This window comes from Homo sapiens, chromosome 4, assembly GCF_000001405.40.
Source record: "Homo sapiens chromosome 4, GRCh38.p14 Primary Assembly".
Lineage (NCBI taxonomy): Eukaryota > Metazoa > Chordata > Mammalia > Primates > Hominidae > Homo > Homo sapiens.
In genome coordinates, this window is record NC_000004.12 from 174064091 (window position 1) to 174091979 (window position 27889).

The following is a 27889-nucleotide window of genomic DNA, read 5'->3' on the forward strand; positions in this document are numbered from 1 at the left end:
CTGCGCCCAGCCTAAACATTTTTAAAGTTGGAGAGTGACCTCATGGTATTAGTTAGACTATAATCCTCTATAATTTCTTTCATTTTGAGATTTTTCACCATAAAGATCTTTAAAGTAAAATTCATTTAAGAAACACAATAACAGTGAATATATTCAATATTGTATGGTGGAAAGCAAATGGACTTTGGGATCTGGCACATGAACTGTGCATCCTTGAGAAATTTTTTAACCTATCTGAACATCAGATTCTCCATTTGTAACATGACGGATAATCACACTTGCTGGCTGGTGAAATTCTGAAGGGTAAATGAGTTGGTATAAAAAATATGTGCCTGATATCTCTAATAAGTGCACAATAATAAATATTAATTATCTTATCCTGGAAAATTTACTACTTCAATATGAACATATGCATAATTGCTTTTTATCATGTCCTGTAATGTTACTGAAAAAAATCATTGCTGAATTTTTCAGCAGTGAATATCAGCCTGGAATATATTCGGCTCCACAAAAAGAATTATATCTTGCTGTGGAATGGTGTGTTGACTCTATGATGGCTTCAGGGATCTGAATCTCTTCTCTCTTTCTATCCAGCCATCTTCAGTAGGTAGTTTTGTCTCTCACACCCTTTATTTCTAGTCACGAAACGACAGTTCCACATCTAGCATTATATTTTCAGCCTAGCTATGCAAAAGAGAAAGGGCAAAGTCAGCTCCCCCTTTTTAAATAATTTTCCAAGAAGTCTTACCCAGGGTGTTCTGGTTACTTCTCATTGGCTAGAACTGTGTCACATGGCATCTGTCATAGCAAGAGAGGCCTGGGAAGGTGATCTTGGAGCTGGGTGTGCCCCTGGAAAAAGAAAATGAGGTTCTGTTAGTAAGGAAAATGAGGAGAATGAAAAGTATTAAGTGAAGAAATTGCAAAGACAGCATCAGAGACTGCCATTTTATGCATTCCACAAGAACCTCCTTTTTTTTTTTTTTTTGAGACAGAGCCTAGCTCTGTCACCCAGGCTGGAGTGCAGTGCTGCGATCTTGGCTCACTGCAACCTTCGCCTCCCGGGTTCAAGTGAGTCTCCTGGCTCAGTCTCTCAGGTAGCTGGGATTACAGGGACCCGCCACCACACCCAGCTATTTTTTTGTATTTTTAATTGAGACAGGGTTTCACTGTGTTGGCCAGGCTGGTCTCGAACTCCCGACCTTGTGATCTGCCCGCCTTGGCCTGCCAAAGTGCTGGGATTACAAACATGAGCCACTGCACCTGGCCAGGACCTCCATATTTTGAGTCAAGATTTCTTTTTCTGGTGTGTGATGGCTTCAGAATTCCTACCTAGAAATGATTTTAGGATGACAATATTGAAGGAAATGAGTTTCTTTAAGTGGTTTTATTTAAGCCTATGTGCAATGTCAGTACAGGGCTTTTGCTGAAATGGCATGTTTATTTGGGGCACTTGGTGTGGGCGTGAGAGAAGTAGTTGATGGAGCTGACGGGTGAGGAGAATTCGAAGTCCTCTATAGTCTTCAGCTGAACCACCGCTTCTAATAAATATGCTTTTAAATCTCCAGACACAAACACTTAAAATCGAGCTTTCTTTGCTCTTGCAGTAAATCAGTAAAGTACAACGCTCACAACTATTATTAATAATGCTTCTTCATGAGGGGGACTAACTGGATTTGGCAGAATTGTGCTTTTTCCCTTTTAGCTGCTTTCTTTCTCTTCTCACGGTATTATAGGAAGAAACTATTAGAACTAATTTTTTTTAAGGAGAAAAAAACAATACTTCTCCTAAGAGGGACCTTGCCTGAAGCAACCTCTTTTATATGGTGCTTCCTAAGGCAGTAAGCCAGCCTTTTACAGACATGGCCAGCACAGGTGTGGCAGAGCCGCACTAATGAGCAGCATATGCTTTTAGTTACATTCTCATTATGGTGTCATCAGGGCCCAAGAAAGCAACCATATTACACGTTTAAGTTTTTAAAAATGGAAAGATGCTGGGGCTCCTTTAATTTTAAATATTCTGGGAATCATAATTGAAATCAAAACTTCTTTGAACTATTGTGGTGTACCCCAATTACAGGAAATCACTTACCAGTGAAAATTACACGGAGAAAGAATATTTTCAATTCTATGGAAAAGGGGGGAAAACATTTTTCTTTAATGTTGGTCTAGTCGGGAAAACTTGACCAACCTTGTCTCTAGATCCAAAGATTGGTCCAATGCATTGATCTTTATGTAAATTCTGTTAATATTGAATGGCACTTAAACAAGGTCAAAAATGAAATTCCATTAATGACTCACATCAAGTTTTAGCATCAATGGACACTGCAAACCAAGCCTTGGGCTCCTTAAAATTCTAACTGGCTCATTTAAAGTCAACCTCAGAAGTTATCTTGGTTTCATTTGGATCCCCTTACCATCAGAGGTAGTCATGAATGATTCTTCTTGGGGGACTGATGTGAATCTTTAAAATTTATTCACCACCACAAACAGTATCTGAGTTCATATGAACTGTCATGGATAAGGAAATGTGCCTGAGTTCCTTATTGTACTCACACAACATAATGAAGACACACAATTCACACTCATGCCATTTTCTGCTGCACTAAAGTTTGAAACTGTCATAGATGCTAATGCATGAAAAAAGTGCAAAGTGCTTCCACTTGGATTTTTAGCTCCAAGCCATTTGGCAGTGAGTTGAAGGGAGTAAGCATACTGACAAGCAAATGTGTTAGCCTTTTATATCCCATTTTGAGAGTTTTGGGTGTGAAAAAAGTGGGAGAAAATGGAAGATTATACATCTACTATTCTGGACTGTTGAGTTCCTTCCAATGGAGAATGATGATGTAGAAACTGCAAAGCAAATCTCTAGGGGATGGGATGAGGTCAGACACTGGATCCCAATCCTAGCATTTAGAGCAAAAGCAGAGTGGGAGCCAGGCCAGTCACAAGCTAGACAGCTGGCAGAAGATGCCAAACCAAAGCTGGGCAGGTGCAAGAACCAGAGTCCTGGAGCACATTTAAGGTTATAACGACTAGAGTTAAAGAGGAGGAAAGGAAACTAAGAAATACTCCTCCCAGGCGACGTTCTTTGTGGGAGTTTCTTTCCAATCCCTAAATGCCATGCTGCCTCTGGTATGCTTGGAGCAGCATTTGATAACATTTCATCAGCTGTCGTGTCCTGCACACACCTTTCCAGTTTTGACACATTTCACACAGTTATCACACCCACTGTCCTCAGACAAGTTTATGTGCTTCAGACAAACCAAGCTGTGCTCATACATGTTTATATACCTGCAATTGACAAGAATGAGGCATCTGGAAGACTTGTGGCAGCTAAGACCAGAAAAGAGCTCTGTTCCTTCTCCTCCTCTCTTTGGAAATTGATGCCCTTTCATCTTCCCATCTTAACACTTATTCTTCCAAATTTTTCATTCTGGCTTAAGCCAAGATAATTCTTGCAGGAGCCAAATCTCTCATCTTTGACTCAACCTCCTCCCCTTTCTTTTTTCCATGGAATCTCATCAAATCTGCCAATATCTTCTTTTGAAGAGCTTCTGAATTTATGTTTTTCTTTTCTCTCTCACTCTCACCACCTTGTCTAGACCCTGGTCACATCAAACCTGGATTGTTTTAACATTAACTCTTCTCATTAGATGTGCTGGTTCCAGCCTTTCCAGCCCTGACCTATTCACACATCAATCCCCAGCGCAGGGGTTCCTGAGAGGTCCCATTGCCTATAATGCTAAGTGTACACTCCTCCTGCCACTCTCAGTATCTGGCCCACCTTCTCTATCCAATCACATTTCTCTCCTACTCTTTCTTATCACTCATCTCTCTATCTCCAGTTTTACCATTTCCCCCACTTCTACTAATCAATTTTCTTTGCTTAAAATGTCTCCCCATTCGTCCTCAGCTATCCAAACACTAGCTATCCATCTAAGTTCATGCCAAATTATCCCCCACTAAGTCTTCTCTGAAAAATTGGGTCCCTTTCAATTCCATAGTTCTAACTGCCAATACTTCATATTTCTGTTATCTAGAAGATTATGTTCTGACTCGAGGTTACTTAATGCTTGTTTTATAAACCTGTTTGCCTCCTTAACTCTTTAACTTTTGAGAGCATTGTCTTGATGATACATTTCTCCTGCATTGAGCTTTTTCCCCTTTGGGGAACACGCTGTGGAAAAGTAGACACCCAATAGATGCTTAATGTACATATTTATAAAATTTGTCTGGGAACAAAGATTTAAAAAATTTATATTAAAAAGGACTCTGGGAAAGTCAGCTTGGGATTTGGAGAGTTTTAAACATTTTATGCACAGAATTAGTTTAAAGACACAGGACTGAAGTATCCTGCTCCCTCTGACCTTTGGGCTGGCAGCAATGCTGGCAATATTCTACTCTTTCATTTTTGGCCCTTCTTCCACAGCTTTCTGGGCTGCTTAATTGGCCTGCATTCCAACTTCATCACTGGAATGTAAGCTATCACCTACACACTTAAGTAAATAGTTAAATCGTTCTTCTGGCTTTACCAAATGGAACAGTGGTTTCCAAAAATGGGACTCCACAGCTCTGCCATGTCCTTCGTTACTTGGGAAAGGTTCTGTTATAATCTCCTTGCATCCCTACACTGAATTTACTTTCTTCTTCTCTGAAAATAACACTAAAGTAAGGCAGGGGTAACACTAAAGTAAGGCAGAGTTCATTGGAAATGGAAGGATGAAGAACATTTGATTTTAAACTGAGAAAAGTTTTCATTCTAAAGAACTTGAGGCCGGGCGCGGTGGCTCACGCCTGCAATCCCAGCACTTTGGGAGGCCAAGGCGGGCGGATCACGAGGTCAGGAGACCGAGACAATCCTGGTAACACGGTGAAACCCCGTCTTTACTAAAAATACAAAAAAATTAGCCAGGCGTGGTGGCGGGCGCCTGTAGTTCCAGCTACTCGGGAGGCTGAGGCAGGAGAATGGCGTGAACCCGGGAGGCGGAGCTTGCAGTGAGCTGGGATTGCGCCACCGCACTGCAGCCTGGGTGACAGAGCGAGACTCCGTCTCAAAAAAAAAAAAAAAAAAAAGAACTTGCATATATGGTATCTTCAGCTAAACAAAATTATATGGTTTTTATTAAGCACCAGAAAAGCAGAGAGCCTGGGTGAAGTTGTAGCCAGCTCTGGGCCTGCTTTATAATTGGATGATCTAATCAGTGAACACTACAATAAAGTAGAAAATATACCCAGAATATGAAAACTTATTAAATAATAAGAGTGTGCAAATTCTCCTTAATTCTGTCCTTCCTATTCCATCTTTAGAAACCATAGTAAAGTTGTTTAAAGTATGGAATCTGTGTAAATTTTGTAAAATCATACAGGAAAGGAAAGTTGATTTTTGCCTACATGGACAACACCAGGACTGGGATCATGGAAAACTAAATTGGCATGTACTATCTAGAGGCAGAAGTAATCAAACAATTAATTTTGAATAGGAGCATCTCATTTGTATCACTCTTTCTTAATACATGTGGTTTAGAATTTCAGTAATCAAACCATAATAGCTTAAAAATACCAAGTTAGCTACCAAATCTATGCGCAGACGAGATTAGGATTCAATAATGTGCTGACTAGTCTCATTCACTCTAAACATATTATTTTCAGATTTGACTTAAATAGCTAAGTTACTACTTTATCGCTTTGTCCAAACCAATGCCTTCCCTCTCCTTCCTTCTACAGTACCATCTTTTTTCCTGCTCAATATTATCAAACCAAGCTACAAATCTAATTAAACTGTCTTGATGCCAAAATCTCTGCTCCTGGAGAAATGCATCATGCAGCACATCTAGGTAAGTGAATTAAAAAAGCATCCAGGCAGGTATCTGGTGAATGTCTCAGTTCATCCTTGCATAATAAACTATCTTCTCCTGCTCATTCATTTGTCAGTCACAGTAACTAAGGATTATTATTTGCTGAATGTACGTGACACCAGCAATTTGCAAAGTCTGTTGGCAAGAAAATCAGGTTAGCATGACAGAGTGAGAAATTAAGCAGAAGCCTGATGTAATTAGCTACAACAATCAGTGCTCTAATTTCTGATTTATTGTTTCCTGTTTTCCTGCTGCACTCCACTCTGTGTATACTGTATGTACTTCATATAGGTCAAACAATTGCCTTATCAGTCCTGGCAAAGCGAGAGGTCAGAGTTAACAATATTTATTTAAACATGCAGGATGCTTCCCTCTGCAATTAGGAAATAACTATTACTAATAGGTCCTTGGCACTATTTCCTCATTTATACAATTTTTGGGGAAAAAAGAAACAGAAGCAAGGAAGAATTGGGATTCATTTCTTACATATGCACAAAAGTTTATTTAGTTCTCCCTCTTGGATAATTCTTTTACTCTCAAAAGATCTATGATTCTAAAAGAGCCAAATGAATCATTACTGTTACAGATGAATATTTATAAAAATACAGTAAAAATATCTTTCTTGATAAATAGTGGGGTTTTGTTTTCAAAGCCCTGTTAAAAGGTTATTGCAGAACCCCCTTGGAAACTCTAGTCCATGGAGAATTTTCTTGCTGTCCATCATTCAACCACAAACAGAAAGTGGTGTTAGCTGTTCTTTTCATATTTTTAGAAAGCATTCTTTCAAATTGCATATAGGTTCTATTTTGCAGAACTATGAGCTTTCTTACATTCAAAATAGAATTTTCTTAAAACCTCTGAAATAAAGCAATGAACTTCTATAAGATAAAAATACTTCACTCAAAATAATGTTAACATTTCTGAAAGAATGAAAATAACTTAATTCAGGGTAAATTAAATGAAATTTGCATCACTGGCATGTAAAAGAATAGGTTCTAGGTTTCTTTAAAAACAAAGGACCTGAATATAATAAGACAAATATTTCTGTTTGTATTCTTTTAATTAAAAAATTTTATATGTTAATTCTCTCAAGACACTGTATACCTTTGAGAAGATAAAATAGAACATACTTCCAAGGCTTTCAGAAAATCCTCAGAATCTAGTCAGACTGAAAAGCAAGATGGGACATAGAAGACACATTAGACTGCCAGGAAATCTGGATTTTTCTAAGGTCATCTCTTTCTTAACTAATAGCCTTGGGTAAATCATTTGACCTCTTTAAGTCTCATTTTCCTCATAGACCAACCTGTACTATGAAAGGCATGCATTCATTAGTTCTTTCATTATTCCACAAAATTTTACCGAGTACTAAACAGGCACTGTTGCACTGTGCTAAGTGTTGAGAAAACAGTGGTGAACAGCAGCAAGTAAGAGAAATCTTTGTTCTCATGAAGCCTACTCTAACAACTGCAAGATAAAAGTAGATATGCTTCAGGACCAATGATAACAGTGTGTCATTAAGTCAGTGATTATAATAATGTCTTTTTCAGTTGCTGATATCCACCAAAATGATGGAGGGGAGAATGAGCAAATAAACAAATAAATGATCATAATAGGCTGAGAGAAGAAAAATAAAACAAGTGAAAGTAACAGAGAGTTACTGGAGGACAACTTGAAAGGGGAGGTCAGGGAAGGATTCTCCAAAAAGGTAACATCTGAGTTGAGACTTAAGTGACAAGAAAGTGCCCACTGTTCAAAGATCTGAGAATAGAGCATTACCAGGAGAAATAGGAAATAGAAGACTTCAAGTGGGAATAAATAAGTTGTGACTAAGCAACAGAAAGGAATCCAGTGTAAGCTGCTGTAATTTCCAAGTGTGGTAGTGGAAAAGTATTTAAATGAGGTCAGAGAAGTAGGTACAGTTGTTATCATACATTTTTAAAACCATAAGCAATTTGAAGTATATTCTAGGTTGGATGGGCAGTAATTGAAGCTAAGTAGGCTTATACTGTAATCTAATTTAATATGTAAAACTAATTCAGCCTCTAGGTAGAGAATTGAGAGCAAGAGTGGCAGCTATGGCAACTGATTGGGAGTGGATGGCAGTAGTAATATTGGCTTGGACTAGGCAGTGAAGATGGAGAGAAGACTAACATAATGAACCTTGGAGACAGTTGGTAGGACTTGCTCTTGGGTTGGATGTAGAAAATGAGAGGAAATGAGAAATCAAAATGACTCCTAGGTTTTGGACTTGAGCATCTGGGTGGATAGTGTTTGCATTAATGAGGTAGTGACTACTGATTGGGGTAGAATAAATTTGGCTTCAGCCATGGTAAGTTTCAGTTATCTATTATATGCCCAAGTAGCATATAAAATAGGTAGCTGGATATTCAAGTCTAACTAGCCAGATCAGGACCAGAGTTATTGATACAGAGATGGTATTTAAAGCCATGAGGAATTAGATGAAATTATCCAGAAAAACATTATAAATAGAGATGCAGAGAAGTCCTAAGACTAAACTCTAAAGTACCTTAACATTAAAAGGTTCAAAAAAGAAAAAGGAATCCACAAAGGTGATTGAGAGGAAGAAACTCCACATGATTTGATATTATGGGAGCCAAGACAAGAAAGAATTTCAAGAAGGAAGGAGTGATCAGTTTTGCCAAATATTACTGACTGGTAGAGAAAACTGATGACAGATGATGGTAAAATAGAAGTTAATGACCTTGACAAAAGTAGTTTCATGAACTGTAAGGTTACACATCTATGGATTTAAAAATCAGGCTCAGGCTGGGTGTAGTGGTTCATGCCTACAATCCCAGCATTTTGAGAGGCTGAGGTTAGAAGTTCGAGACCAGCCTGGCCAACATGGTTAAACTCCATCTCTACTGAAAATACAAGAATTAACCAGGTGTGGTGGTGCATGCCTGTAGTCCCAGCTACTCAGGAGACTGAATCAGGAGAATCTCTTGAATCCAGGAGGCAGAGGTAGCAGTGAGCTGATATTGCATCACTGCACTCCAGCCTAGGAGACAGAGCAAGACTCCATCTCAAAAAATAAATAAATAAATAAATAATAATAAAAGTAAAATAAAAATCAGGCTCTACAACTTAATAGCGAAGCAGGATATTTCCCTGCCCCTTTGCAGGTGGGAACTTGAGTACAGGGATGCTGGAACTAGCTGGCTGCTTTGGCACTGGCAGGGGCAAATTCCACTCACTTGGATCCACTGCACTTCACCCTTCATGGGGGGCGGGGAGTGTGCAGGTGAGTGGATGCAGGAGCTGGGGCGAGTGCTTTTGAGCACTGGCAGAAGCAAAACTCTGTGCGGCCCCACAGCAGCATCTGGGGAGGTGCCCATGACCCCTGAAGCCCCAGAAGGAGTGTTACCGTGCCCTTTTAGCTTTACTGTCCATGGACAGCTTAAGTGGTAACAGCTCAGTGGAGGGTCATTGTGACAACATTTTGCACCTGCACTCATGGCACCCAAGTTCTTGTCCAGTATCCAGAAGGAATGAGATCGCATGAACAAATTGAAGATGGTAAACAAGGGGGATTTTATTGCCATTGAAAGTAGCTCTCAGCAGCAAGGGGAGCTGAAAAGGGGATGGAGCCGTAAGGTAATCTTCCCCTGAAGATTCCCCGTGGATGGCCAGACTCCTCTCCAAAGCTACGCTGTCAAGCTGTCCCTCTGAAGTAAAGACTCTTCTGTCTGACGTCCTACCATAGTCTCTGACATCCAGCTACTTCCCCTCCTTCTGCTGGCTGAGCCTGGGGTTTTTATGGGCACAGAATGGGGGTGGGGTAGGCCATGGGTGGTTTTGGAAAGGCAACATTCGAGCAGGAAAACAGGGATGTAAGTTCTCACTTTGGGCTGCATTGACAGGCTTTTCAGCTTAAGGGTGGGGCCCTCACCAGGGACCTGCCCTCTTCTGCCCAGAATTTCCCTGCCTCCTGTCCCTATCAATAGCTATATGACCTTGGGCAAGACATTTAAATCTTCTGTGCCTCAAATTTTTCTTCTTGGCAATGGGAGTATAGCACCTACAGTCAGACTGGTTGAATGATTCAACACAGTAATATATTGGAAAGATCTTGCCATGATTCAATAGACCTTCTTTCTGTTCCCCTTTTCCCAACTCACCAGAAAATTTAAAATATAGTTAACTAACCAATTCTGTTAAAGTCAAATAAAGTCCATACATCAAAATTTGAAAAAATAGATGCTAGAATTCTTTAAGCTACTCTTTTACTCACAATTTTATGTAGGACAGCAAAGCTTAAACTTTGTAATGGAAATGGTCATAAGTTACTACGTAGTTATATGTAGTTATGTAATAGCCAATAATTCCAATAAATTATCTAAATTTCTATCACAAAGGAAATAACTAAAACATATTTTTTACCCTTAGTACTAAAATTTATTCTGAAATAAAGGCACAATGAAAGAAGAGATCATGACAATGGGAGTATTCTAACGCATATTAATTTTTAAATTAAATAGTATTAATGTCTCAGTAGGAATGAATCTATGCTTTTTTGACTGAGAGAACAATTTCATGTATAATCTCTGACAAGATAAATACCCTCCTTGCAGTGGAATCTGTTGTTTTACAATTAATTAAATGTTTTAGCTAGGTTAAATCTCAATCTCTGCCCAAATTCTTAAAGCAATATGAATTTCTACCAAGATATTGAAACACCTAAAACATTTTGTCATCTGGCAATTTCTGTAGTATCTTCTTAATCGTATGTTTAGATTAATAACATTTTCTAATTTTAGTGGAGTCTGATTTGTCAATTTTTTTCCTGAAGGGTTAGCACATTATTTGTCTAACGAACTTTTAGAAGTTATTTTTTTCTCATCTAAGCATTTATTATTTATTTAACAATATTACTTCAGTGCCTTCTGGGTCAAAAATAGGATATAAAAGTTCTCTCTCTGCCTGACTCATTGATGAGAGACATGGATCTTCTGCCCTTGGACTGGGACTTACTTCATTGATGCTCCTGGTTCTCATGCCTTCAGACTCAGACTGGCATTTATTTAATACAACACTGGCTTTCCTGGGTCTCCAGCTTTCAAACAGGAGATCATGGGACTTCTCAGCCTCCTTAACTGTATTAACCAATTCTTATAATAAATTTATAAATATATATGTATAAACATGCATATGTGTGTATACATATATCTCCTATTAGTTCTATTTCTTTGGAGAACTCTGACTAAAGAATGTGAGATAGAGATTAAATGATAACTTTATTTCCCATGTTGATATTCAATTGATGTAGTACAGTTTACTGCAAGTACAATCATTCTTCACTGCCCTGCAGTGTCAATTTTTTATAAATTAATTATCCTTATGTGTGTGGTCTGTTTCTGAACTGTCTATTCTGTGCCTTTGGTATATTTGTGTATGTCTGCCTAAATTCTACACTGTCTCAATCGTATTAACTTTATATTAACTTACAGAAGAGAAATGACTCCTCAAACTTTATTTAGCATTTTAAGATCGTCTTAGACATTCATGGCTCTTTGACTTTCCATAGAAACTTTTGTATTTTTCACAGAGACAGGGTCTCACTTTGTTGCCCAGACAGGTCTCAAACTCCTGGCTTCAAGCGATCCTCCCACCCCTGCCTCCCAAAGTGCTGGGATTACAGGTCTGAGCCACCATACCACAGACTAGAACCTTCTTTCAGTAGAAGGCTGTTTTATCTACAATGAAAATTTGTTCTTTAGTTCAGCCACCTTCATCAATTACCTTAGTTAGATCTTCTGGATTACCTGCTACAACTTCTCCATCAGCACTTGCTGCTTCACCTTGCCCTTTTAGGTTATGGAGACGTCTTCTTTCGTTAAACCTCATAAACCAACTTCTTCTAGCTTCCAACTTTTCTTCTGCAGCCTCCTCACCTTTCTCAGCCTTCACAGAATTGAAGAGAGTTAGGGCTTTGCTCTGGTATAGGATTTGGCTTAAGAGAATATTGTGACTGGATTGATCTTCTATCCAGACCACTCAATTTCCTCCATATCAGCAATAAGGCTGTTTTGCTTTCATATCATTTGTGTGTTCACGGGAGTAGCACTTTTAATTTCCTTCAAGAACTTTTCCTTTACATTTATGATTGGCTGACTGTTTGGCCTAGCTTTCAGCCTATTTCAAGTTTGGACATGTCTTCCTCACAAGCTTAATTATTTGTAGCTTTTAATTTAAAGTGAAAGACATGTGACTCTTCCTTTCACATGAACACGCAAAAGTCATTGTAGGGTTATTAAATGGCCTAATTTCAATATCTTTGTGTCTCAGGGAAGAGAGGCCTGAGGAGAGGGAGAGAGATAGGGGAACAGCCTGTCAGTGGAGCATTCAGAGCACACACACTTATGGATTAAGTTCGCTGTATTATAGGGGTGTGGTTTGTGGTACTCCAAAACAGTTATAATAAAAACATCAAAGATCACTGACCACAGATCACCATAACAGATATAATACTACTAACAATAAAGTTTGAAATATTGCAAGAATTACCAAAATGTGACACAGAAACACAAAGGGAGCACAAGCCAGTGGAAAAATGGCACCAATAGACTTGCTCAACACAGCGTTGCCACAAACCTTCAATTTGTAAAAAACACAATATCTGCAAAGTGCAATAAATCAAAGCATCACAAAATAAAGTATGCTTGTACTTATATATCATATCTTCATTATTATTCAGTTTTAAATATCTTCTAATTGCAATTATGTTTTGCTGCCCCATATATTTCTGCAAAATTACGTTGGGGATTATATTGAAGATTTTCCAGTTAATCTTTTTAAATTTAGTATTTTTATGATGAATTTTAGCAAATGTTTAAAATACATTTGAAAAGCATAGGCATTCTTTGGTTACTGTGTACAGTGGTCTGTATCTATTGATTATATCAAGTAACTTAATTGTGTTTATAACCCTATAATTTTTTCTTGCCTGTTCTATCAGTTATTGAGGGATGTTTGCTAAAATCTTCAAATATATTGTGGATATTCTGCTGTCCTTTTAGTTACATCAATTTTTGCTTTATGAATTTTCAGGCTATGTATTAAGTACATGCAAATTCAGAATTCATAAGTCATTCTACTGAATGGAAAATTTTATCATTCCAAAATGTCCTTCTTCAGTTCTAGTAATGTCTCTTGCCCACAATCAACTTTGTCATTCATTTAAATATATCAGATTTCCTTTGGTTAGTTTGTACTGTGTGTGACTTTCCATCCTTTTTTTTCCTTTTTTAAGGCATGTATCTATTAAGTATTACATAGTTGAATTTCTTAAGGAGTCTGACAATTATTGCCTTTTAATTAGAGTCTTTATTATATTGATATTTAATATAATTCCTGCTGTATTGGGATTTAAATCAATGCCTTGCTTTTTATTTATTTTTCTGCATCCAACGTGTCTGACATTCCATTTTCCTCCTCTCTTACTTTCTCTATGGTTAATTAAATATTTTGTCTCATCTTATTTATCATTCTGTTTCTTCCTGGTAACATTAATATTTTTAGTCATTAGTCAGAGATTACAGCATGAATCCTTGACTTATTAAAATCTAATATAAATTAGCATTTACCACTTTCCAGATATTGCTAGAAGCTGAAAATAATATAACTGCAATTACCTAGCTTACTTGTTGTACAATTATTCTTATGTATTTTAAATTGACATATATTTCAAACCCCCTGTTAAAAGACAAACTTCAGCTGAATTAAATTTAAAGGAGTTTAATTGAGCAATGAATGATTTGTGAATCAGGCAGGCCCCCAGAATCACAGTAGATTCTCAGAGACTCAAGGGATGCCTCATGGTCAGAATAAATTTATAGACAAAAATAAAAATGATGTACGGAAATTAGAGGTGAGGTACAGAAACAGCTGGATTGGTTGCAGGTTGGTGTTTACCTTATTTGAACACAGTTTGAACACTCAGCAGCTTATGGTTGAAATATGGCTGATAAGACTGACCAAGACTCAGCCACTGTTACAGGCACATACTCCAAAGTTAGGGTTTCAATCTTGTCTACCTACTAAGTTAGGTTGCAGTTTGTCCACAAGAACTCAAATATAAAAGTACAGAGTCCTTCTCAGGCCATATTTAGTTTGCTTTAACACTCCTAAAGCAATTTATACAATTAATTTTCATTTCTATATACTCAAATATTTACCCTTTATTTTGCTTGTTTTTCTTAATGCAGCTACATGGTTCCATCTGGATCATTTCACTTCTGCTTAAAGAAATCCTCCTGAATATTTGCTGCTTTGGTAGATAATCAACACCTTCAGACAATTACTTTAAATTTTTGTTTAGATTTTCTAGTTATTATTGGTAGGACTTTTGGTCTGAAATAAGCTTGTCTGATATTGCTGGAAGCAAAAGTCTCACAAAATATCTCCCTCTCAAACCTTTCTCCCAGATTCATATATTCAAATACCTGCTGGACATCTCCACGTAGATGTCTAACAGCTCAAACCATATTGAAACCCTGGTCCTTCCCTCCCCCTCCACAACAAAAATCTCACTCCACCCATATCACTTCCATCTTACTTGACGAAAATGCCAACCTTTTAGTTGTTTGACCCCAAATTTTGGAGTCATCTTTTATTCCTGTCAGAAACTGTTGGCTCTATCTTCAAGACTTGTCCAGAAATCAACCATTTCCCTCCATCTGTACTGTTACAACTCTGATCCGAATCACTATAATATCTTTTCTGGATTGCTACAATAATTCCCTGATAGGTCTCCCTGAGTCTATATTTGATCCCCACAGAATGCTCAACAGTGCAGCTAGAATGACACTTTTACTGGTTAAATCACATTATGCCACTTATCAGCTTATACCACCCAATGCCTGCCCATCAGACTAGCCAAAGATCTTACTATAACTTGCAAGGTCCTCCTGGATCATCGCCTCCTTGCCTTTGATTTCATCTTCTACCATTTTCACTGTGCTCCATCACACTAGCCTCTTTCTGTTTTTAAACATAAAAGGCATTTTCATTCCCACATCTCAAAGTCCTCGCTCTAGCTGTTTCTTTTGCATGGAAGTCTCTTCCTCCTCATAATCTACTGGCAAACCTTTACCCTCTTGAGTCATTGCTGAAATCCTACCTTTTCAACAACCCCTACCACGATCAATCTATTTAGATCTGCAACTCACCCCAACTTCTGCATGGCCCTCTCAATCTCCCTTACTCTGCTCTACTTTTTTTTCTATTGAATTTTTCATCTTCTAAAGTAAAATGTGCTTATTTTTATGGTTTATTTATATTTGCCTTCAACTACTAGAATATGTGTCCCAAGAAGAAAGGGGTCTTTGTGTTTTTCATAGATGTATTCCAAACATCCACAACAATGTCGAATATATAACAGGCTCCCCATATATATATCTGTTGAATGAAGAAGTGAATGAATGAATAAATGCCTTCCTCTTTCTACACAGTCCTGCTTAGAAGGTGAATGAGACATTTGGTTTTCTTGAACATGGAGAATATATACCATTCCCTAGGGTATTACCGTTTGTATCTGCTATAAGAAATTACCACAAACTTGATGACTTAAAAAAACAAAAATTTATTATCTCACAGTTCTGGAGGCAAGAAATAATCAGATTGCTGGGCCAAAATCCGGGTATCCAGAGCCACACTACTTCCAGAGGTCCTAGAGGAGAATCCATCCATTCCTTGAACTCAGAATTCAAGACGGGAACTCCTAGGCTTGTGACCACATCACTCCAGTCTTCAAGTACAGCATCTTCAAACTTGTTCTGCCTTCAGTGTGTTTGTGTGTGTGTGTGTGTGTGTGTGTGTGTGTTTATAAAATCTCTCTCTGCCTTCATTTATAAGGATATAGGTTATGGCATTTAGGGGCCACCTGAATAATCCAACATAACCTTCCCATCTCAAGATCCTTAGTTTAATCACACCTGCAAAGACTCTTTTCCCAAATAAGGTAGCATTTACAGATTCTCAGGACCTGATATCTTTTGAGGCCTAAGATCTTTTTGAGGACAGCCCACCACACCTGGGCACAATGTACAGTGAATATAGTTCCCTTATGACTTAATGGAGCAAAGCAGTCATGCAAGCCTTGGAAATCCTTACTTTGAGATACTAGGTTGAAGAGAAATAAACATATTTTAAGCCACTGTTACTCTGGGCCTTGTTGAGTTCAATCATAATGAATCCTAACTGATAACAGTGAATAACTGTGAATATTTTTAATTGAAATATTACATTTACCGAAATGGAGTTGCACAAACTCTAATGTTATGTTTCTTTGCTTTGGACTGGAATTTTATTGCCTAATTGGGTAACCCTGGTTATTTCATGTTGAAATACTCTCTGATACACAGTGGAAATAAAATGTATAACTTTAAAATAAAGTTTGGTAGATAGTTTAAAAACTTGAAGTGCCTAGAGAATACAAAAATTAATATTTAAAAATCTGATTGTGGAACTGTTTAGAACCACTGCTCTACATGAAAGCACATTAAATGACTGAACAGTTATCCTCTTTACCTACTACATTTTCTCCTAAAGCCTGGTAAGGAGCAAATTGCAACAGCCTAGACTGAGTCACAAAGACATGGATGTTCACAAGAAAACATGTGCTAAACAAATACCATATTTGGTAAGTACAAGTGGTTAGCAACTGAAAAGCCTTGCTTTGTAAATAGAAAATTCCCTCTTTAACCTAATGGTAAAAGCTGGCATTTATTCTGACATGTTTGTCCAACAGTAAATTAACAAAAGAGTGGCACTTCTAATTCTACAAAATTAATCCCCAACAAGCTTCCCTGGATATCTTCGAGGATCAGATACTATTGGAGATAACAAACTTAAAAGGTGTTAGAAGATTGGAACTGTGAAAGACAGCCTCAGCAACCTGTGGAATTCCAATGAACATTTGTGTTTGGTCATTGCCATGTATGTTCTATTATTAAGTAACTGTTGGGTAACATGTCTCAGGCCAAAATAAACAGTATTACCTGATAGATGTATGCACTAAACATTAATATATTATAATGAACAGAGCTACATTGCTGCCCAAATGATCATATACAGATCATACAACAGTGTAATCTGTTTATCACGATACCAAATATCTTACGTTCTGGCTTTTTCTATAGAGTATCATCAGTTAACATTCAGAATTAATGCGCCCCATCCAGCCAGCTGCCCAAGCCAGAGGGTTTTTTCCCAGTCAACCCATAAACACCTAGTGGAGAAGTCTTAGCTATTTAATATCTCCATCCATGTGTCTCCATCCCCATTGTTACCACTTAGGTCAACTCTTGAATTCACATTTCTCATTCAGGTTCCATTAAGCTCCTAAGCGAGCTCCACACACCCACTGATGCCTCTTTAATACATTCTCCACTCTGCATCCAGAGGCATCTTCTAATAGTATAAATATGTCATTGTTCTGCTGAAAACCGTTTGATGATCCACTATATTCTTCAAGGCTATTCATAATCTGGCAATACAGTGGAGCCATCAAGAACTTGGGCCCTAAAGCCAGACAGTCTAGGTACAAATCTTGGCTCTAACACCAGATGTGGTTCTGGGAATTCACTTTATGTCCCTGCTTCTCAATTTTTCCTTCTGTAAAATAATTAATGTAATATTAGTGTTGCATTAATATGGTTGGGATTAAAAGAGGTAATGCTTATAAAGCCCTTAGTCCAGTGTCTGGCACACACATAGTACACATTCCATAAAAATAATCTGTTATCATGTCTTGAGTTCTGTGTTCTCTACAGTTAAAACAAACTGCTGGCACTCTCTGAAGACATTATTCTGCCTCTGGATGCTATCTTTACATGTGCTGCTTCCTCAGGCAGGAAACCAGTCTTCTCCCATGGCCCCAACACCACTTTCTCTAGTTGATTCCCACATTTAACCTTTAAAAAATCATGGAGATTGAATGTCCTCCTAAAAGCCTTTCCTCACTTTCTGCCATCTAGGTTTAATTCATATACTCATGGAGTAGTCCATACATAACACTACTCTAGGGCCTTATAGATTATATTGCAATTGTCTGCCTAATGGCCTATAACCCCACGTGGGTTATAAGCTCTTTGGAGGTCAACAATATAACTATTTGTCTCTGTATCATTAGTTCATTTTTTGTTTTTTTGAGAAACAGTCTCACTTTGTCTAGGAGGCTGGAGTGTAGTGGTGATCTCAGCTCACTGCAACCTCTACTTCCTGGGTTCAAGCAATTCTCTGCCTCAGCCTCCCAAGTAGCTGGGCCTACAGGCATGCACAACCATGCCTGGCTGATTTTTGTATCTTTTATAGAGATGGGGTTTCAATGTGTTGGCAAGGCTGGTCTCCAACTCCTGGTTTCAAGTTATCCACCGGCCTCTGCCTCCCAAAGTGCTGGGATTACGGGCATGAGCCACCACGCCCAGCCTCATTAGCTCACTTTTGCACTGCTATAAAGAAATACCTGAAACTGGGTAATTTATGAAGAAAAGAGGTTTAATTGGCTCATGGTTCTGCAGGCTGTACAGGAAGCATGGCTGGGGAAGCCTCAGGAAACTTACAATCATGGAGGAAGGTGAAGGGGAAGCAGGCATCTCTTCATATAGGCAGTGCAGGAGCAACAAAGGTGGAGGGAGGTGCTACATACTTTTAAACAACCAGATCTTGAAATAACTCATTCACTATCACCAGAACAGCACCAAAGAGGAAACCTGCTCCCATGAGCCAATCACCTCCCATCAAGCCCCATCTCCCACATTGGGGTTTACAATTTAACATGAGATTTGACAGGGACACAGACCCAAACCATATCACACAGTGACTGAAGATAAGCAAAGGAGAAGTAGCAGGAATAAAGATTCTGTAGACTTAGATGAATCTGAGAAAAAGAAGACTGTCTAAGGGTCTCAATCATCAAGTGCATGGTCATATGCGAGTACTTAGAACTGTATCTTTTTCTCACCAGATAAAATCCAAACTAATTATATTCAAATGTAGAATATGAAACCATACTAGTACAAGAAGAAAACATGGGCTAACTCCTTTATGGCCTGAGAAAGGGGACAACATTCACAATTATGATTCAAAATCTAGAATCAGTAAGGGAAAAGATGGATAAATGTTAATATAAATACATATAGATAAATACACCCATATATACATTCATACCTGAAAGTTTTGCATGACAAAAATAAAAGCACAAGCAAAGTAAAAAACAAATCATAATACAATTTTGAAAATCTTACTTATACAATAGGCAAAGATTTATTATTCCTAAGGTGCTTATTTTAAAATATGATAAGTAAAGTGAAAGAATAGTGGGTTTTTCCTGCCTGGAGTGTTTTTAGATGAAATAATATGATGTTTGAAATTTGTTTTGTGAAAAAAAAAAGCCCTCCCTTTCGACAAAAGTAAGGGGATAGGTGAAATAAGTTTGACAAAATGATAGCATTGGAATTATGCAATTGATTCATAGATACTCATTCTGCTGTTCTGTCTACTTTTGTGTGCAAACTTGCCATAATAAAAAAGCTTTGGAAGTGCATTGGAAGAAAATTATGCAATCATCTGAAGGGTTAGGCTAGTTGAATTCCAACACTTACTTATCAGTTTCATAAAATATATTTCCTAGGAAAAGCCTTTATCAATATTATAATTTTCACTTGGGATTGAAATCACTACATGCTAAGCTCTATAAAAAGCTAAGAAATTTTATCTTGCATGTTTTGTTTCAGGAAGGGTCAGCAACATTCAAGGACGTGCTATCTGAATTAGGGATTGAGCTTCCTAAATCTCAGCTTAAGCTTGAATGTGTCAGAATGGTTCCCAGCTGTCATGATTGCACTCAATTAGGCTGAACTTCTGGCCATCATCTAAACCAAGACCTTGCTAGACACCTCACAGGCCCAGGCCCACACATTTGAGCTGCCTTGAAGCCAAGGCAGGTCCAGGATATTGATATATACCATATACACATGACTGTTACACAACTGTGGCAGATGCATCCTTACCATCTCACCATCTCCTACTGCTTCCCAGTAAAGTCTACTCTGCACTTCACTGCAAAATTATTTTTCAAGAAGGTCTTTATCGCTATATTCCCTTTTTGGAAAACGATACATCTTTAGCTGTAGATTAAAATTCACAGTGTGGTATTCACTGCTCTCAATCCGGGCAAATTGAGAAGATTCTGGTCTCACCTTTGTGGCTATAAGCCTCCCTCAAATGTTTGCTCCCTAGTCTATGTTATTCTCACTGGCAACCTGTACTTAAAGCGCATCCTCTTCTGAACAGGTGCTTTTCTGCTTATTATACGATGCTCGACATTTGTAAAAGTAAATGTCTTATGTCCCCATCCAGATTTTTGAGATTTCTTCTCAGTATTTCCTGAATCCAGCATTAGGATAAGGAGTGGGCACTCAATAACAGCGATTGATTCTTAGAGTCGAAGCTGTAGAATTTTGTGGTGAGGAATATGATTCTTGCAGGACAAGTCAATGAAGGTACCATCACAAGCTACTATATGGTTCTTTAAGTGGCACAAAATGTGTGAGAGCATTTAGTGTGTCAAAGGAACAAGATTATCAATCATTGAACACATATAACAATTTCTACTTGTCCACTCATCACTATAATTTTCAAGTGTTCATTTCATCTCATATACTATTTCCAGACTTCAGAGTTATTCCTTTAGATTCCCCTTTCAACTGACTCATATCCATCCTTTATTCCAGTTTTCCCATTATTCTCACCCCATAGTTAAGTGCCTCATCACTTCCTTCCTGAACTGGAATGCTTACTATTAAAGGAAATCTCTTCTTCCTCTATGTCAGTGATTTCAACATTCAGCAAGAAGCCACCATTCCCCATGACAATCATCCTGCCATAAACCACGGTTAACTGATCAGAGTGTAACAACTCCTCAAGTTCAGGGAAAAAATCATTTTGAGAATTACTGCTCCAATCAACTTCCTACAAAATTTGTCCTAAAATTATCATCCTAAAATAGCCCTGTGATCAAACTACTCCCTACTAATACACCTTCAATGGAATATTGTTCTCATAGAATAAATTGCTAACTCCTTACAATTTCACATTACCTGACATATCTACCTGTAACCTTTGCAAATTTCAAGGTAGCTCATCCCTTATCTACACAGAACATTTCAAACTTACCTCCCTCGGGGCCTTTTCTCAGCTGACTCCTTATCCAAAAAGCTGTGCATTGCCTGCGCCACATCTTAGAGTATCATGCTTTTACTTATTTTTATAATTGTATTCTTTCTACCTCCACCTTGACACTAAACTTCTTAGACAGTAGAAACTACATCTTAAAATTATTTTTCTCCCTCAGCATTCTTAACACAGTGTTGTAATGTGTAGTCAACAAATTAGATTTATTTTTACAGTACACATTTATCAAGCTATAATTTTCACAATGTTTTAATTCTGTTCTGAGGTCTACAGATATCTCTACATAAACACTAAAGCCAGTGATTTAATAAGTGAAAGGAATGCATACATTGCTTTGCAAAAAAATTAGCCTGATACATTTATATCTATATATTTATAGAATCATTTTCCCAAGGCTCATGAAACTAAAGCGCACACATACACCATAGACACACACACACATGCACACACACACCATTATAGTCAATTCAAATGGATTTATATTGTGTCAAATTAAATGCCATATGAAATTTATAATCAGATACACAAAATATGAATGGAATCATGAATACACTGTTGATAATGGATACCATAGCTCACAAATATGATCTCCAGTTAAGAAGAGAGAAATAATTGTTTCATTGGATTTTTGGTATGCGCTAATCACCATCACAAAAAAATCAATTTAATTACACAGTATTCAGAAATTTAACAAACATGCAGATATTAAGTTGACCACAATAAAACCTTTAAATCTGCAAAAAGACATGAAAATATATGGTCAATAATACCATTGTTCACTTGAGTCAGCTTAACATTTTACTTTATTCAGATGCCAAAGATAAGGTAGTTAAACAAGATAACCTGTTAGGTTTCTTATTCTGGATTTCTACACTCCATCTCTTAGACGTCTGAGACCAGGTATTGAACTGTAGTTCAAAGGAGCTTATTGGTTTGCAAATGTGTTTTAAATAGATCCACTGTTAGATCACTAAGCACATTGCATGACTCATTTTCAGAAAACTTACATTTTCATACTTATGTAATTTTCCTGATAAACCTAAAAAGTTGTTTTTATTTATGTATTTTTTTTGATTGATTGATTTAGAGACGCAATCTCACTCTGTCATCCAGGCTGTAGTGCAGTGGCATGATCATAGCTCACTGCAGTCTCAGACTCCTGAGCTCAAGGGATCCTCCCATTTCAACTTCCCAAAGTGCTTGGATTACAGGTGTAAACTACCGCACCCAGCCTATTTATTTTATAAATAAACAACTCTAACAATTATTTGTTAGATCACAAGTTTACGGTGGCACAGAGCCTCCGGGAATTTATGGGTATGTGAAAGAAAATTTCTATGTGAAGTGGCAATTGCTTACTTCCCTTGTAACATCAGATGAGACCTTTTCTAGGAAGGTATAATAAAATTTGGGAAGCCAGGATTCGCTTCAAATTGGCAAGCCCCAAGCAATTTTTTCTTAAAACTTTGAAAAGTTTCTAATAATGATGATTATTCCTTAAAAATCAAGATTATGAAAAAAGTACGTTTAGGATGCTAATAATTCAAGCGTATATCTGAATTTATCTGTCCATCCATCCATCTAACCTCTCTTTCTCTCTCTCTCACTCTCTAAGGCTCACTATAGGAAAATATAACATTATGAATAAAAAGTGTTGCTCACTTTTGAACTGCAAAGCAAAATTTAGTAAAAGTATACGCTGATGCTTATCATCTAAGCATGATCCGTTACTTCATGGGAGTTTGGTTTTCTTAAACGTTAAAAAAAAAGATTATCCTAGTCATAGCTACAATTGCTGAGATAAATCAAAGACACCATTTCACTTCTTCGTATTATCAAAATCCACATGTTGTTGCCAAAATAGACACGTGCTCATTTTTCCAGGGGTCTTTTTAGGAGGGAAGTCCCTGCAAGACGTTATCACTAATTTGCTGCCAGTAAATGTGTGGTACAAACCAGAATTTCAGTTTGACCCTTGATTTTATAATTTAATACCAATATTACTTACATTATTAGTTTTACTGGTAAATCAGGAGTAAGTTGTTGGAGTCCAGCTGTGACCCCAGGGCAAGAACTTTTTGCCTGCTGTCACCTTCTGACAGTTTAGGCTGTTAATTACCTCCATCAACTAGAACACAAGCACCTCTCTGTCTGCCAGCTGGCAGGCTGAGCTTCAGAAATTGGCAGCTTGGGAAGATCTAAAAAGCTGTAAAGGGGGCTGCTATGTAAACAGTTTATTGTACAATATTTGATGACCACAGTAGGCCCGCATCAGTAATCAAAGGTAGGCTCCGCTATTGGGCATTGATCGGTTAGCAAAGAAGAAAGTTTAAAATAGCTTTTGTTTCTATGTTTTTTATCCGGCAGAGTGAAACTAAGGGTTTAGTTCTGGAGGCATTATGTTGGTGGCCGTGGGAGGAAGTCAGTCAATCATTTAGTTCTGCTGAGATAAGCTTGGACCCAGTCGAAAGAAAGGTAAGTCAGCGGTTGTGTGTGCGCCTTGAAAGTTTAAAGCTCACTGCTGGTTAAGGATACTCTATGCACATTCCCTATAAAAAGGAACTTGTTACCATAGGCATGTGTGTAAATTATGTATGCACTGTATGGAATAACTAATTATGTTTGCAACTATATTCTGATCAAAATGCCTTTCCTAACATATCAATGATTTTGTTTTGTTTTGTGACGGAGTCTCACTCTGTCACCCAGGCTGGAGTGCAGTGGTGCAACCTCAGCTCACTGCAGCCTCCGCCTACTGAGTTCAAGTGATTCTCCTGCCTCAGCCTCCCAAGTAGCTGATATTACAGGCGCCCACCACTGCACCCAGCTGATTTTTGTATTTTTAGTAAACACAGGGTTTCAACATGTTGGCCAGGTTGGTCAATGATGTTTAAGACACATTTTCCAAAGCCATGCTCAAATTTTGAGATTGTATCTGATATTTCACAGTCTCCTTTCCAAACTCCACAGAAACATTTATAAATGTTAATTTGATAAGACTATCAAATAAATAAAAATGTTAAAAACAATACTGACTTAATCTTTAATTCTATAATTCTATTTGAACATTAAAATTCTGTCATCTGGTCTTTGTTGATTAAATGGCTAATTTCATAAGCCACGTGGGCTTAAGTTTAAATCACAATCAAAATCCAAGTTACTTATTTGTTTTAAAGAAATAAAAACAAGCATAATACACTGTGATAAAACAACATTCAGTAATTTTCAGCAAAGAAATGAAACCAAGTTAGCATGCATTTGCCTTTGATTCATTTCTTTGAAGCATTTCTTCATCAGTCTTTCCAGAGAAAAAAGTAGCCTTCCTGACATTTTCTTTGGAGCCTCTTTTTATAGAAATTATCAGACCTGTTTAGAATTAACCATTTTTATTCAGGTGCATGCATGAGTGCGTACACACACACACACACACACACACACACACACACACACACACGCCCCATCCAAACATTCTACAGGTATAAAGATGACTCTACTGCAAAAAGACTTGAAAACTCTACATCTGCGTAAGAGGAATTCCTACAGGCCTGCAATCTTTGCCTTTGCCTCCAGAGAAGATCTCAGATCCGCATGCCCCTCATTCTTTTTAACCTTCCCAAAGGATCTGTCACTAATATTGGTAATAGTAGCTAATACAGATTGCTTACTGTATGCCATACAATATGAGAAGCACTTTAAGGGCATCATTTCTCATTTATTTTTGGCCACTGTCTTATGAGATAGATTATAAAATTGCCCTCACTCTACAGATAAAGGCCAGATAACTTGCTCAAAGCCACGCAGCCTACAAATGTGAAAGCAGAGATTCAACAGGAAGTCTTTCTAACTCCTGGCTCCAGACTCTAAATCACTCCACTACACCACCTCCCAAGTTACTTTCTTGAAAGACAATCCCATTTCTGTGCTTTCCTGGCTCTCCTTCTTTCTGCCAAAACTTCATCAACTTTCTATTATTGTCTCTACGTACATGAAAGACTTTTCCCATTCCATGCGCTTCTTCAAATTCACTGTTCTCATTTATTTCAGTAGTTTTGAATTTTACTACTATGGGTGTGGTTCTAAAATCTTCATCACTTTTCTTGAGTCTCTGAAAGCTCTGTTTGGCTGTGGTTGTGCTTAGCCAACCAGGCTATGACCGGTCTGTCCAACATGGTGAAACCCGTCTCTACTAAAAATACAAAAATTAGCCAGGCGTGGTGTTGCATGCCTGTAGTCCCAGCTACTCAGGATGCTGAGGCAGGAGAATTGCTTGAACCCAGCGAGCCACTGCACTCCAGCCTGGGTGACAGAGCGAGACTCTGTCCTCTCTGGCAAACCTGCCCTTCCACTTGTAATTGCATCTTAGTTGATGGTGCACCATCCACTCAGAATTTAGGATTATCTTTCATCTTTTCATTCACCACTCATTCAGGTGAAAAAAGTCTCATGAATTCCACTTTGAAGAAATCTTTTTTTCCTGTACTTATCGTATGGCCTATTTTGTGTCCCCATTGTTACTCACCAAAGTAATAATGCAGCAGCCTCCTAACTGCTTGCATAGCCTCTTGTCTCTGTCCTCACTAATCAGTCCCACATTGTATCACCAGAAGCATCCTTTTAAACACAGAACCAGTTCTTAAACTCTCCTCCTCAAAAACCTTCAGTGGCTTCCCAATGTAAACAGATGTCCAGTATCAGTAAACCCCTGGACTTAGTTCTGGCTTATCTTAGCGCAGATTAACTTCTACTTCAATACTCCAAGAGGCATGTGCAGCCATTCCCTAATCGCGCCCTCCCCTTGCCTCTCCTATGTTTGTGCTATCCCTTCTTTGTGGGCTTTTTCTCCTTCTCTCATCTTAATCCCTCACAATCCACCTCGAATTTCCTCCCATGAAACTCCTGATGGCCCTACTAAAAATTTATCCTTTTCTTCATTTACTTAACAACTATTTATTGAATATTTACTAAGCTTTAGAATCTCAAAAATAAAAGACAGGCTCCCTTCCCAAGAACAGTCTATAACATTCTAATGGGGAAGACAAGTAAATAAGCAATTAAAATTACATATGGTTTTCATGAAACACACAAACTACCAATGCTCTCTCAAGAAAAATAAAATTAGTATTTTATTAATATATTATATTATTTAGTTTTAAAAATTTTGTTTTGCTATAATTTTGTTTAAAAAAAAAAGATTGTTGGCTGGGCGCAGTGACTCACGCCTGTAATCCCAACACTTTGGGAGGCCAAGGCGGGTGGATCACCTGAGGTCAGGAGTTCAAGACCAGCCTGGCCAACATGGTGAAACCCCGACTCTACTAAAAATAGAAAAATTAACTAGGCATGGTGGCACATGCCTGTAATCCCAGCTACTCTGGAGGCTGAGGCAGGAGAATCACTTGAACCCAGGAGGTGGAGGTTGCAGTGAGCTGAGATTGTGCCATTGCACTCCAGCCTGGGTGACAAAAGTGAAACTCCGTTTCAAAAAAAAGAAAGAAAGAAAGAAAAAAGAAAAAAGAAAGATTTATTCACTAGTGAGCTCTTCTCAACATTTAAGGAACAAGTGATACCAATTTTATACAAACTCTTCTAAAAATTGAAGAGTTCACTAGTACACTGATATTAAAACCAGGCAAAGACCTTATGGAAAAGAAAACTGGGCCAGATGTTTTGGCACATGCCTGGGCTGCTTGAGGCCAGAAGTTTGAAACCTGCCTAGGCAACATAGCAAAACCCTGTCTTTACAAAAAATAAATAAATAAAAAATAAAGTAATTAAAAGTTAGCTGGGCATGGTGGTATATGCCTATAGTCCTAGCTACATAAGAGACTGAGGCGGGAGGATTACTTGAGCAGTCTTTAATTGCTTCAGTTTGAGGCAGCAGTGAGCTATGATCATGCTACTGCACTCCAGCCTGGGCGATAGAGCAAGAAGACTCTGTTTCAGAAAACAAAACAAAAGAAAAAAGAAAACTAAAGATCACTATCTCTCATTAGTATAGATGCAAAATCCTACACAGTATTTTAGCAAATTAATTCAAGCAATATATTTAAAAGGATAATGCTTCATAATGAAGTAGATTTCATCCCAGAAATATGAGATTTGTTTCAATATTTAAAAATCCATAAATGTAACAGTTTCTCAAATTTTGCTTGTTTCGATGACCTAGGCAGTTTTGAGAATTACCAGTTGGGTATTTTTTAGAATGTTCTTTAATTGGAATACATATGAAAATTTTTAAATAATTAGTCTGGAATTATGGGAATAGGAAGAAGAACACAGAGGTAAAGTGCCTTTTTTTAATCACATCATTTCAAGTGGACATGACATAAACGTCACTATCACTGTTGATGTTGACCTGGGTCACTTGGCCAAGGTAGCAATTGTCAGGTTTCTTTACTGTACAGTTATTCTTTTTCCCTCTTTTCATATTGTACTCTTTTGAAAGAAATGAGTATGTTCATGTCCGACTTAAAGAGCATAGAGTTATGCTCTTCCTCATTGAGGAAGTAGTATCTACATAAATTCTTTCAAATTTTTCTGCACAAAAATTTGACTCTTCTTCCTCATTTAATTATTTTTTTATTTTACTTATGCTTTAAGTTCTGGGATACATGTGTAGAACGTGCAGGTTTGTTACATAGCTATACATGTGCCATGGTGGTTTGCTGCACCCATCAACCCATAATCTACATTAGGTATTTCTCCTAATGCTATCCCTTCCCTAGCCCCCGACCCTCTGACAGGCCCTGGTGTGTGATGTTCCCTCCCGGTATTCATGTGTTCTCATTGTTCAACTCCCACTTATGAGTGAGAAC

General features: G+C 37.8%; 1 long non-coding RNA gene across 2 annotated transcripts; it reads right to left on the reverse strand.

The window, feature by feature from the left end:
- LOC107986204 (uncharacterized) lies at positions 1–26149 on the reverse strand. 2 transcript variants are annotated; one of them, XR_001741466.1, is made up of 3 exons: positions 25594–26149; positions 11645–11783; positions 1–849 (listed from the first exon to the last, which is right to left on the reverse strand). It is a non-coding gene; the product is annotated as an uncharacterized LOC107986204 (long non-coding RNA). The 2 variants fall into 2 exon arrangements; XR_001741465.1 differs by having other exon boundaries at positions 11622–11783.
- Between the last annotated feature and the right edge of the window lie 1740 nt (positions 26150–27889).